This window comes from Homo sapiens, chromosome 12 (genome assembly GCF_000001405.40).
Source record: "Homo sapiens chromosome 12, GRCh38.p14 Primary Assembly".
NCBI lineage: Eukaryota > Metazoa > Chordata > Mammalia > Primates > Hominidae > Homo > Homo sapiens.
Genome location: NC_000012.12, coordinates 100,370,739 through 100,385,040, shown reverse-complemented (window position 1 = coordinate 100,385,040; position 14,302 = coordinate 100,370,739). Strand labels below are relative to the sequence as shown.

The 14,302-nt window shown below is 43.7% G+C and overlaps 1 protein-coding gene across 2 annotated transcripts in view, besides 1 other annotated feature; it reads right to left on the bottom strand.

Moving 5' to 3' along the window:
- The window catches only part of SLC17A8 (solute carrier family 17 member 8), a 64,982-nt gene that overhangs the window by 37,015 nt on the left and 13,665 nt on the right, over positions 1-14,302 (bottom strand). For both annotated transcript variants that reach the window (NM_139319.3, NM_001145288.2), the window contains exon 2: positions 4,088-4,340. In NM_139319.3, the coding sequence (NP_647480.1) occupies positions 4,088-4,340 (253 nt within the window). The remainder of the gene's footprint in view (positions 1-4,087; positions 4,341-14,302) is intronic.
- Positions 11,593-12,342: an enhancer, noted in NCBI's record as "OCT4-NANOG-H3K4me1 hESC enhancer chr12:100766477-100767226 (GRCh37/hg19 assembly coordinates)". NCBI's record gives its function as "activates a minimal SCP1, AML or CMV promoter by ChIP-STARR-seq in naive H9 embryonic stem cells {active_cell/tissue: H9 hESC(naive)}" and the evidence as "EXISTENCE:reporter gene assay evidence [ECO:0000049][PMID:30033119]".

Genomic DNA, 14,302 nt, shown 5'->3' with positions numbered 1-14,302 from the left:
GTCCCACGGAGTCACAGAGTCAGGGCCAAGTAAATCAGCTTCCTAGCAAGACAAAGGCTCAAGGCACTTCCACTGTGGAGGGCAGTGAGAAGCCAGGGAAGAGGAAAGAAAGCAGTCCATGAAGGACCAGGGAAAACGGAGCTGACTCCAAGAAAAGCCAATGAAAGACTCTGTGGGGCAAGCAAGCTGGAGACCTTAGCAAAGGCTTCTCTAGTTCCCACGAGGGAAAGCTCCATTCAGCACTTCTGGCAGGGCCTGTCCTGCGGCCTCAGAAAGAATTACATAAAGACTCCCTTCCCTCCTCAGGGTGGAGGACAGCCTGGGTTTCAGCCCCACCTCAGGCTGGCTTCTGCGTCCTGGGTGCAGACTGCACACATACACCACAGACCTGCTTTCTGCCCTTGGCTTTCACGAGATCCTCTTACAGCCCTACAATAATCCCCACTACCATTTTTTGTTTGTTTGTTTGTTTGTTTAGATGGAGTCTCACACATCTCGACTCACTACAACCTCCAACTGCCAGGATTCTCTTGCCTCAGCTTCCCAAGTAGCTGGTACTACAGGTGTGCGCCACCATGTCTGGCCAAATTTTTTGTATTTTTTAGTAGAGATGGGGTTTCACCATGTTGGCCAGGCTAGTCTAGAACTCCTGACCTCAGGTGATCCACCCACCTTGGCCTCCCAAATTGCTGGGATTACAGGCATGAGCCACCATGCCGGGCCCCAATAATCCCCTTTTAACTCGAGCCAGTTTCACTGCACATTTCTTCGCAACCAGCAATCTCTGACCAGGACACAAGGGCAACTTATTCAAGGTCCCAGAGCTCATTAAAACCAGGTCTGGCCAGTTCCAAAGCCCATGCTCTGAATCCTACAGGGCCCACAATCCATGGGAAGAACTTTGGACTTTTCCTGAGAGTAATGAGAAAACAAAATCACAAGTTTCTCAAACTTCGGTCATTTTATTTTCTTACTATATGCCAAACACTTTTCTAAGAGTTCACATGTTTTAACTCATAACTATTAAATTTAAAATATGGGCCAGGCACAGTGGTGCATGCTTGTCCCAGCACTTTGGGAGACCAAGGCAGGAGGATCCCTTGAGGCCAGGGGTTTGAGATCAGCCTGGGCAACATGGCATGATCCCATCTCTAAAAAAAATTTTTTTTAATTAGCTAAGAATGGTGGCATGAGCCTGTGGACCCAGCTACTTGGAAACTGAAGTGGGAGGATCACTTAAGCCCAGGAGGTCAAGGCTGCGGTGAACTATGATCACACCACTTCACTAAAGCCTGGGCAACAGAGATCCCGTTTCAAAAAAAAAAAAAAGTGTTCACGCTTTAGTTAAAATCACTCTTCATACCCCTTGTAGAACATATGCCACATATTTGAAAGATCTACCTATTCATACTGCTTATTTCTCTCCTTCTTTTGAAATAAAGATTTAAAGATATCTCAGTGCCAAATATCTAGTTTTTCCCTTAAAACAGAAAAACCAAACAAACATACCAGCCATTCAGAGCCTTTCTTAATACAATTAGCAAAGTATTTGTCATTTGGTTGAACATGCTCACTTGATATCTAAGCTTTGTTCTAGGCGGACAAGAGAAATAATCTGCTATAAATTAGAGCTGTACTAGAGTTACTGATACTAAATTCCTACTCCTGAGTCCAGAGGAAAAAAATTTAAACCATATTTCAGATTTTAATCAGTTTCTCTAAGACTCCAGAGGGCACAGCCGTAGAAACTAGAGAGCGCACACTAGCATTGTTCCTCGGGTTAATCAAAATGTCTTTTCCATATGCCTCAGAGCAGACTCTATTGACCAAGGTCTATCTTTTCAGGCAACAAACAAATGCAAAACAGCATCTCATTTTGATCTGGGCCTCAGCAGACAAGTTTTAATTAGCTGGTCTTGCTCACAAAAGGCTGAAAGAATGCATGTGATACACATCTGAAACCTTGCTAATATACATCATTCTTTATTTTAAAAACGCATGATATGCCCTTCTACCTCTATCCCCCACACCCCACAAAAGACAGGATATCCTTTTAGGACAGATTTGGCTGTGGCATCAAATAGAGACTAGTTAGGAGGATCTCCATGGTGCTGTTTTCCTCTGGCAGAATAATCTCTTGGTTTGAAAAAAGCAAAAACAAATAGCTTGCAGACCAACTAAAGACTTCTTTTGACAGATTGAAATCAAATTTTCTCAAACCAGTGCCTGGCAGGAGACTGTGCCAGATGATGCTAATAGATATGGCATGAAAGAGAGCATTCTATGATCAAGTCAGTCCAGAAAATATTGCCTACCACGTCTCCCTCTTGGAAAGTCTCATAAGACACAGCACAGTATGGGCTCCAGGTCTCGCACTGCCTTCTTCATGGCACAGCCTGCAGTGCAGTGATTTCCCAGACACTAGTTCAAAAAACTGTGATCTAAATGTTTCTTCAAATAGAGGGAGGGACCAGAGAACTATTAAATGTCTCTCTGCAGATGAACGGATTTCTGCATGAGTCATTGCAGTGTGTGAGTTTAGTACGATGAAACATGCATTTATGGGGTGTCCACTGGGCAGACATTTTTGTTTGTTTCTTTTACCCCATAACCTCAGTACTTCTCTAGGTCTATCGTTTAAGCAGCAAACCAGATTTTATGTTTCCAGTGATTCCTAAAACAATACTATTTAAGTCACTTCGAAGTATCCTTGCTTATAACTATGATGGCCTCTGAACTGGCCCTGTGGCCTCCATTCCTATCTTACCTCAATCTGGCCCCCTGCAATGGGGCAGTGAACAATCTGGAGCACAGATGTGATCATTCCATGCTTGCAGCCCCTTGCTACATGCCTACCAGGCTATGGATGATCAGCCCCCTATTTACTTCGCTGCCTCCACCTCAACGTGCTCTACCCAATCACTGGGAGTTCTCAACCTGGAGTCTGTGGATGGAATCCTGTGCATCTGAGAACTTGGATGGGAAGAAAACATGCATCTTTATTTTCACTCTTAACCAAAATTTAGCATTTTCTGCCATTATGAATGTAGGCAACAAGCCACCGTCATATGACTAGTACCTATGACTGTGTCCCACGTGGAAATAGCAAATATGTTCAAATCGTATTACAGTCATGGCCACTATTTCCAACAATGGCATACATTCCAACTTAAAATCAGAGTAAATGTTAGACCCAATACTAGATTTTGTCACTGATGTACTACTAAAGAAGCCCATATGTTTCTATGTCACAAATGTGATTTTTAAATGTTTTGGTATTTATATTTTAATATAATTGGCTTCTTTTGTCATCCTTTGTGTTTTATTTTAAGAACTTAAAACATTACTTTGGCAAAGGTTCATTAGTCATCTCCAGGAGTCCATGACACAGAAAAGATGATGAGCTCCTGTTTCAGTTCCTAAAATATACCTACATAGCATGTGTACGTTCTCTCTCTCTCTCTCTCTCTCTGTCTCTTTCTTACAGTCCTTCACAGTACCTTTTTCTTCAAACATTCTTCTTCCCACCACACCACACCCTCTTTGCCTGGTCCAGCCATCACTTTGGGAATTTGTTCACAATAGGGAAGTCTGGGCTGTGCCCTCTCCTATGAGCCCAAGAATCCTGTGTACCTCCAACGTGGCACCTACCCCCTCAAACTGTCATCACTTACTTGTCTCCATGAGGACAGGGCTCAGTCTAGGTCATTCACCTTTCTATCCCCATCATTCTGCACAATGCCCAGCACAAGTAGCCACTCTCCATTTTTGTCATATCACTGAAGGAATTGCAGGGCTTTCTCTCAAGGAGCAAAGTATTGACACAGCTGCAGTCAACAGTTTCCTCAGGATTGTAGTCTCAGCTACTGATCTGAGATGCTGAGATGCTGAGATGCTGAGATGCTGAGATGGGAGGAGCTACTTATCTGAGATGCTGAAATGGGAGGATGCTGAGATGGGAGGTTAATTTCAACCTGGCAGGTTGGGGCTGCAGTAAGCCAAGATCGTGCCACTGTACTCTAGCCTGGGAGACCGAGCGAGACCCTGTCTCAAAAAGAAAAGTCTTCCACCATGGACTGATACCAACCTGAATTTCCGGTTTTCCATCAACATATACGGTGCTATTGTTGACCATTTCCACAATGGCAACTCCAAGATTGCACCGGATCCCAAAGGAAATGCAGAATCCCAGCCCACTCATGATAGCAATGATGTAACGCTTGGGGAGGCCGCAGCAGTGGCAGTCGCAGAGTGGGGGGCTTGGCCTGGACGTCTGCACCGGCCTTCCTTCTTCATTCAGCTCAATGTTATCTTCTTCCTCAGTTGTCCCATCGATTTTTCTACATGGGAAAAAGGATAGGCAGAAAATAAAAGCCAGGATTAAAGGAAAAAGAAAGTATACTAAGCAAAAAGAAAAAAGGTACCAGCAGATGAAAAACAAAAAGGAAGACCCATAGTAGAATACTATGGAGGTATTACTATTATTATTAAAGTAAGTTATTATTATTATTAAATATTATTATTATTATTAAAGTAAGTTATAGTGGCTAAAACTACTGATGTTCTGGGTATTGTGTGGGACTTTTATAAACATTCAATCAATCATTTAAATTTTATAACAACCCCATGAGGTAGACAGTGTCATCATGTCATTTTATAGATGAGGAAACTAAGTCATTTGAGGTAGGATAGAGGCCCAAGTCCAGAGTCTATGTCTAAAACAATATGCTATACTGCATTTCCTGCTGAAAGAGCATTGACAGACTTTGTTCACATTGCTCGACCCAGCTGATACAGTTGACCTTAACCTTTCTAAGTCTTTTTTTTTTTTTTTGAGACGGAGTTTTGCTTTTGTTGCCCGTTGCCCAGGCTGGAATGCAATGGCACGATCTCGGCTCCCCGCAACCTCTGCTTCCCAGGTTCAAGCGATTCTCTCACATCAGCCTCCTGAGTAGCTGGGATTACAGGTCTGCACCACCATGCCAGGCTAATTTTTGTATTTTCAGTAGAGACGGGGTTTCTCCATGTTGGTCAGGCTGGTCTCAAACTCCCGACTCAGATGATCCGCCCGCCTCAGCCTCCCAAAGTGCTGGGATTATAGGTGTGAGGCACTGTGCCCGGCCTAATTTTTCTAAGTCTTAATAAAATACTAAGTGGAGGTGGAGAGGGACATTTTCTATCACAATGCACACCCATTTGGTTGTATATCCTTTTCTCCTTAGATGGTTCCTCTAAGGAGGTGATCATCCAGCACCTTTTATTCAAATGGTAGACCTCTATAGATTCCAATTATGGCACATTCATTACAGTGAATTTATCTCTTCTTTTAAAAAAAAAGTAATTGGACAAACGGAACCCTATCTGTCAATTATAAAGGAAGTTGTATCCTCTTACTTATTGTCATCTTTCTGAGGATACTGTCATGGCCCACTTAAGGTCCAAGTCTTTTTAAAAATAATTAAAGCTTGCAAGTTTTCATAAATATTAAATGCAGTGATAAATAGCTAATATAATGGTTAACCCAATAGTTTGGATAAAACACAAGTCATTTGCCCACAAGTTCATATGAAAGATAACCTTGGCAGGTTCTTTTTTTTTTTTTTTTGGGGACGGAATCTCGGTCTGTTGCCAGGCTGGAGTGCAGTGGCACGATTCTCGGCTCACTGCAATCTCTGACTCCCTAGCTCAAGCAATTCTCCTGCCTCAACTTCCTGAGTAGCTGGGATTACAGCCATGCGCCACCACACCCAGATAATTTTTGTATTTTTAGTAGAGACGGGGTTTCACCGTGTTAGCCAGGATGGTTTCGATCTCCTGACCTCGTGATCCGCCCACCTTGGCCTCCCAAAGTGCTGGGATTACAGGCGTGAGCCACCGCCCCCGGCACCTTGGCAGGTTCTTATGACTCAAGGAAATCAAATTTCCGGCACAAGTATAGAGAAACAAATACACTGGATTCAATTCAGTTCATCAGATATATATTGAGCGCCTACTGTGTCTCAGGTACTGGGCTAAGTATTGGGGAGCAATAGACAACGTGACATATTATCTGCCTTCTTCCAGCTCTTAGGCTGATGGGGAAGAAAGACACATATACAAGCAGCTATAATTACTGGATGATGTGGGTTTTATTGAAATCAAAGTGAAAAGCAATGGTAGAACAAGGGAAGGAGCTTTGAATTTCAACCGGTGAGCCCAGAGTAGAAGCTTAGTAAATGTGCCAGAACATTAAAGCAATTGGAAAAGAACCTAACCATTTCCCTACCAATGTACCTACCTACCTGCCGGCCTGCATTTATACTGATGGGGTCTATGCAGTTGTCCATGCTTCTAGCTAAGTCCAGCCCCTTTCCCTGGACACTAGATCTTGTCCCCTTTTATCCCCTCACGAATATTGCTCCAGAAATCCCCACCCCCACGCTTCATTCATTATGTTCTCCTCCCTAGTATAATAGATCATTCCTGTTGCCTATAAATAAGCTTTTATTCCTCCCATATTAGAATCTAAAATAAAAGACATTTTCTCTTTCAGTTATCCTCCTATTTCTCATTTTCCTTTTTTTAAGAAAGAAATGACTGTCTTCAATTCCTCTCCTCCTGTTCTCTCCTGGACCCACTCCAGCCAGGTATTCCCAACCTGAGCCCCCAAAACTGCCCTACTTAAGGTTATCAATGCCCTCCTCATGGCTCAGTCCAAAGGTCATTTTCAGTCCTCATCTGATTTAATCAACCTAGCAGCAGCATTTGATACAATTGACCACTTTCTCTTTCTTGGCCATTTTATGTTTTTCCAGGAAAACACTTGGTCATCCTCCTAATTCTTCTGTTTTATCTCTTATAGCTGATTCCTTCTTACCTCAACCTATATACACTAGAATGCCTAGGACTCCATTCTCGGGTCTCTTGCTTTCTGTCTATGCCCTCTGGACATCTAAGCAGGCTCTGGGCTTTAGATACCATGTATATGCTAACAGCTCCCAATCTTTATAACTAGACTTATCTGACATCTCCTTGGACACCTAAAAGGCAGCTTAAACTTAACATGTCCAAACTGACTTCCCCTAAAAAAAAATTAATTCCTGAAGTTATTCTCATCATAAGTAATGACAATTTTGCTACTTTGGTTGCTCCAGCAAAAATCTTGAAGCCATCAGGCTGGGCGCGGTGGCTCACGCCTGTAATCCCAGCACTTTGGGAGGCCAAGGCAGGTAGATCACCTGAGGTCAGGAGTTCGAGACCAGCCTGGCCAACATGGCAAACTCCGTCTCTACTAAAAATACAAAAATTAGCTGGCCGTGGTGGCACGCGCCTGTAGTCCCAGCTACTCGGGAGACTGAGGCAGGAGAATCACTTGAATCTGGGAGGCGGAGGCTGCAGTGAGCTGATATAGCGGCATTGCATTCCAGTCTTCATGACAGTGAGACTCCGTCTCAAAAAAAAAAAAAAAAAAAAAAATATATATATATATATATCTTGAAGCCATCTTGGATGCCTCACTTCTCCAATCTATGTCCAACTGAGGAGCTCATGTACCTTACTTTGAATGTTGAGTCGCCCACTTACTCAGCTGTGTGACTTTAGCCTAATTACTTAAACTCCCTGGACTTCAGTTTCTTCATCTGTAAGCTAGGAATTATAATAGTTTCTTCTTCATAGGGTTGTTCTTAGGATTGTCATAAATGAGTTATCAAACTTAGGTAATTTAGAACAGAACTTGCCACATAATAAAAAGCAACATATACCAGCTATTTTTATTACGTTAATCCTCACCGTCACTTAATGAGTCTATGATGCTAGACTTAGCATTGATGCCATTAGCTCTGAGAGGCAGTTGGATGATAGGACTTTATAATGGGCTGCCCTAGTAGTCTCCATGAATTTCTGGCAACCAAATACGTGTAACTTAAGTAGGATGGAAAACTGATGCTCTAGGCCTGGCGTGGTAGCTCACGCCTGTAATCCCAGCACTTTGAGAAGCTGAGGTGGGCAGATCACCTGAGGTCAGGAGTTCGAGACCAGACTGACCAACACGGCAAAACCCCGTCTCTACTAAAAATGCAAAAATTAGCCAGGCATGGTGGCGAGCACCTGTAGTCCCAGCTACTCCGGAGGCTGAGGCATGAGAATCACTTGAACCTTGGAGGCAGAGGTTACAGTGAGCTGAGATTGCACTGCTGCACTCCAGCCTGGGTAACAGAGTGAGACTCCATCTCAAAAAAAAGAAAAGAAAAGAAAGAAAACTGATGCTCTAATATTGACACATTACTATAATAGTATATTCCTAGCAGCTAAAACAAGGATAATATGTAACAACCACAGTAATATTGTATGAGGCAAATTCAGTTCTCTCCCTCTGCCCTCCTCTACAGATACTTTCATGTAATTCTCTTATTTGATCATTAATACAGCTCAGTGAGACATGGGAAATCTAATACTCCCATTTGACACAAAATACAACTGTAGTTCAGAAAGCAAGAACAAATTGGCCAAGGTCACACAGCCCTTAGTGGGTAGAGGCAAGATATGAAACCCTTCTCCTTTGCTGTCTAGGTTCCTTGGACCACTTTCCTGTGTGTTCCCAGCACACCAGGCCATGCTCCTTCTCAATGATCTTCCTGAGTCACTTTGTCATCTGTACCTGTTACTTTGTAGTCCTTGCGCAGCCATCATGACTCAGAAGAGCAGGGGAAGAGAATGGACTCTGGACTGAGAGATGCCCAGTGCTATCTCTCCCTTGTGCTAGCTCTGTGACTTTGGCTAAGTTACTTGACCTTCTACTAGTCTTCCAGGGATGCTGTAACAAAGCACCACAAACTAGGTGGCCTAAACAACAGAAATGTATTTTCCTACAATTCTAGAGCCAGAAATCTGAGATCCAGGTTTCAGCAGGCCTTGGTTTCTTCTGAGGCCTTTCTTTTTGGCTTGCAGATGGCTCTCTTCTCCCTGTGCCTTCACATAGTCTTCCTTCTATGTATCCGTGTGTCCCAATTTTTTCTTCATATAAGGACATCAGTCATATTCGATTAGGGCCTACCGTAAGGACCTCATTTAACCTTAATTACCTTTTTAAAGACCCTATCTCCAAATATACTCATATTCTGAGGTACTGAGGGTTAGAATTTCACCATAATGAATTTGGGCAGATCCATATGAAGACACAATTCAGCCCATAAGAATCCCTATCTCTAAACTGGGCTAATCGTAATGGGTATCTCATAGGGTTGTTCAATGATTGATGCATGTAAATGATTCACGGCAGTGCCTGGTACGTAAAAAGTGCTTTATATTAATAAGTGGTAAGTACTATCACTATTGCTATTAATAAAGTGTCACCAGTCATAAGCTTAGCGCTCTCTATATACATGCAGATGCTTTAGATGAAGGCTAATGAAAACTGAAAGCGCTGTGGAGCTTTGCACTGCTTAATTGCAGACAGCCCCAGCTGCTGTGCTCTGAATCAACCACCCATTTGGCGTGGGGACAGCGCCTCTTTCTCACAGGCTGTTATTCTGCCAAGAACTGAGCACCGCAGGGATGTGAGGCCGTTCTTTCCTGCCAGAGGCAGGACTCCTCTGACAGCGACTGGCTCTAGGACTCTGCACTGGCCATGCCAAAATGTCCCAGTATTGTAATATAGTCTGAAAGTCTTCCCACCTAGCTTTTCTTCCTTCCCTCTCTCCTACACAGGTAGCAGTTTGAATGCTCCCCCAGCCTCCTCCAGCTCCTTCCCCATTTTCCCTCAATAAATCTCTTGGCCAGGTGTAGTAACTCATGCCTGTAATCCAAGTACTTTGGGAGGCGGAGGCAGGAAGATCACTTGAGCTCAAGAGTTTGAGGCTGCAGTGAGCTGTGATTGTGCCACTGCACTCCAGCCTGGAAAACAGAGCGAGACCATATCTCGTATGTGCCGAGTCCTGTCTTGGTATCTGCTTTCTTGGAAGACCTGAACCAACACAAGCACCCTCTGTGTGCACAGTGTCATCTTAGACATCCCGAGACTTTCCAGAGGGAAGACATACAGTATGGGAGATGGGGAGAAAGAAGGGGAAAGTAACGATCAAAGGGAAAGCCCTGAAAGAAGGAGCTGTGGGCTCCACAAGAAGCAGGACCTACAGCTGGCTGACCTGAAGCCAGCCCCTCACAGCAGCTCTCCAGTTGGAGATGGGATATCAGGAGCTGTGGGGAGGGGTCTGAGCACAGGATCTCACTTTTCTTTGCCCAAAGTGGCAGCTGAGCCACCACTTCAAGGGATCATGGGCTCAGGAGCAAATGAGGATCAATAATTAGCAGGACCTCCTGAGTTGTTTGTGAGTCCTTTGCATAATATTGCTGTGGCAAAAGGGGAGCATCAAAATGAACAGAAATCTAACTTCCCCCAGGCAGGGGGCTCAGAGTCAGATTTGATTTGTTTTGTTTTATTTATTTTTTTGAGACGGAGTCTTGCACTGTCACCCAGGTTGGAGTGCAGTGGCGCAATCTTGGCTCACTGCAACTTCCGCCTCCCAGGTTCAAGCAATTCTTGTGCCTCAGCCTCCCGAGTAGCTGGGATTACAGGCGTAGGCCACCACGCCCGGCTAATTTTTGTATTTTTAGTAGAGACAGGGTTTCAGCGTGTTGGCCAGGCTGGTGTGGAACTTCTGGCCTCAAGCAATCCACCCATCTCAGTCTCCCAGAGTGTTGGGATTATAGGTGTGAACCACTATGCCTGACCAGATTTGATTTGTTTTAAAAGCATTCAAATAGCAGGCCATTTCTTGTATAGCCTAGCTCACAGAGGAAGACAGAACCCCCTCACCCTGTATCATGGAACACACCAGGCTTCTGGGCAGTCAGATAACCTGGATTTGATTTCCAGCTCTGCCACTGATACGCGAGCTGTGTGACTTGGGGGCAAATAACCTGGCCTCTCTGAATCTCACATATCCTCTTCTGTACAATAAATATTTATCTCACAGAGATACATGAGCCGACCCTACAAAGACTAACACATTATCACCAATAAATGAATAGACATTGCCTGAACGTTAGGGTCTCTGCCATCCCTGGTGTTTCCTTGGCATTTTATACATTCCTCTGTTAGAACACTTCTCACATGGAGTTAGAGTCATTTTCATTCAGCAGCATAGGTGCTAAGTAAATAGCCACTGATTTGGGCCAGGCACAGTGGCTCATGCCTGTAATCTGAGCACTTTGGAAGGCTGAGGCGAGAGGATCACCTGAAATTAGGGGTTCGAGACCAGCCTAACCAACATGGTGAATGAAACCCCGTCTCTACTAAAAATACAAAAATCAGCTGGGCATAGTGGCTGGCACCTGTAATCCCAGCTACTCGGGAGGCTGAGGCAGGAGAATCTCTTGAACCTAGGAGGCGGAGGTTGCAGTGAGCCGAGATGGTGCCATTGCACTCCAGCCTGGGTGACAGAGCGAGACTCTGTCTCGGAAAAAAAAAAAAAAAAAAAAAAAGTCACTGATTTGTGTCCATATATGAATGAAGGTCTCCCTGATCCCAGGACCATTTCCAACTCATCTTTATTCTCCATGTTCAGCATCGTGCCTGGAAGCAATGAATCCTTGTCCAACTGAATGGAATTGGTGGATCAATTCCAGACATCACTCCTGGCTTGAAGCACTTACAGACAGGGTTAAGGATCTATTCATCCTGCCCAGAAAAAAGGCTTTATAAAAAGGGGAGGAGACGAGAAAGTTATTTAAGAATAAGAGAAGAAAAACGAACTCATTTCTTAGGAGTTGGAGGACTTTAATTATCCATAATAGCTATTTATCCCATTTCGTTTTCCTTCCCTGCTTGACTGCAGTTGGTCTTTTAGATCAGAGAATCTTCATTCTTTCTAGAGTGACATTCTCATTGTTGTTTCTCCAAATATAGACAGCCGCGGTCTGCAGACTGCTGGCCCTCTGCACACTAGGGAGGTGCCTGCTCTCTGTTCTCAGGCACAGTTGTCCAGCAAACATCCAAGCCCCAGGGGTCTAATTGCCTAAGATATGCTAACTAGTCCTTAGGCACTTAAAGAACTATTTCTTTGCAATTCAAATGTTCCCACTAATTGCGGAAAAGGTTTTGTTTTGTTTTGTTTCATAGGTAATAAGATCAACATTTGGAGCACAAAGTGAGAGAACTTGCAGATAATTTTACGTATTTTAAAAATCCATTTACTGGCTGGGCGTGGTGGCTCACGCCTGCAATCCTAGCAGTTTGGGACGCTGAGGCAGGAGGATCCCTTGAGCCCAGGAGTTCGAGACCAGCATGGGCAATATAGAGAGAGCCTATCTAAAGTTAAATATATATATAAAACAGTATTTTTAAATCAATTTACTTGCTCACTGTATTTGGTATGAACTGAAATGTGTGACCCAAAATTCATGTGTTGAAGTCTTAACCCCCAGTACCACCAAATGTGGCTATATTTAGGATGAGGTGCTTAAGGACGTAATTATGGTTAAATGAGGCCCTTAGGGTGGGCCCTCATCTAATATGAATAATGTCCTTATAAGAAGAGGACATTTGAGCCAGGTGTGGTGGCATGGATGCCTGTGGTCCCAGCTACTTGGGAGGCTGAGGGGAGAGGATCACTTAAGCCCAGGAGTTGGACACTGCAGTGAACTATGATCTCGCCACTGCACTCCAGGCTGGGTGACAGAGTGAGACCCTGTTTCAAAAAAATACATAAATAAAAAGAGACTTGGACACACAGAGACACCAGGGATGCATATGCATAGAGGAAAGCCATCTGAGGACATAGCAAGAAGGCAATATCTGCAAGCCAAGGACAAAGGCCTCAGGAGAAATCAAACCTTGATCTTGGACTTCTAGCTTCCAGAACTGTGAGAAAATAAATTTCTGTTTGTTAAGCCACCCATTCTGTAGTATTTTGTTGTGGCAGCCCTAGCAAACAAATACAGCATTCAAATTTGCCCTCTGAAAAGGTCCCATTTAGCTCATGTTGTCTTTTACACGATCCTTGAGTTGCTATTCTACTGGAAGAAGAAAATTAACTGAAGGACGTTGACTACTTGCTACACTCTAGGGACTCCACGAGGTTTCTATAAAATATATATTATCTCCCTTAATTCTCAAAATAGTCTTGACAAATAGGAGATATCCCCATCTTACTGCTCAGAAGACTGAGACGCTCAGAAGACTGAGACACTCAGAATATTTAAAACCTTGCCCAGCTGGGCACGGTGGCTCACGGCTGTAATCCCAACAATTTGGAAGGCCAAGGCAGGTGGATCACCTGAGCTCAGAGTTCAAGACCAGCCTGGCCAACATGGTGAAAACCCATCTCTACTAAAAATACAAAAAAGTTAGCCGGGTGTGCTGGCAAGCACCTGTAATCCCAGCTACTCAGGAGGCTGAAGCAGGAGAATCACTTGAACCTGGGAGGTGGCGGTTGCAGTGAACTGCACTCCAGCCTGGGTGACAGAGTGAGAACTCTGACTTAAAAAACAAAACAAAAGAAAAGAAAACAAACAAACAAAAAAAACTTGCCCAAGGATCATCCAGCTGCAGCTGGTGAAGGGAGAACACAACTGAGATTTGCTATCCAGCCTATTGCTACCAGTGTGCCACACGAACTAATCAGAAAGCGCCTGACGAATGGCGAGTGCTTTACCTACAGAGACTTTTTTTTAAAGGTTCTGGAGGAGTATTGCAGTGGGATTCAGAGAACATGCCCTGGAGACAGACAGTACTGGGTTCAATGCTGACTGTGGTATTTATTAGGTATGTGGCCTTGAGCAAATTACCTAACTTCCCTCAACCTGAGTTCCCTCATTTATGAAAGGAAGATGGGACTACTGTGAACGTTAAATGAGACCGAGTTACAAAATGCTTAGCATAATTCCTGGCACTTGATAAATAATCAATAAATGGTAAATTTTAAAGAAAGGAAGGAGAATTTAAAATACGATCCCCAGAGCTAGTTTGAGATTTGAAATAGGATCTTATCAGCATGGATTTCAGCACACCACATTCAAAAGGAGCTCAATAAAGTGCACCTGGCCAACGCCAGCCCAGTCAATGCTCCCACAGTATCTATGTCTCTCATTTTTAAATTAATATTTGCCTCTTCCAGTAGATTATAATTTCAGAAAGTCAGGAACCAAAAATCCCTAGCACTCAGCCCAGCTTCATAGATTTTGAGGTATTAACCTATGCTGTTTTTGTTTCCTCCTGGTAATTTGACCCTTTCCTATCCCCCCATTTAAGCAGAGACTCACTGCTTCTTACCTCAGCAGGGATCATTAGATGAACAAGAGGAAAAAAAGATAGTCTCTATGG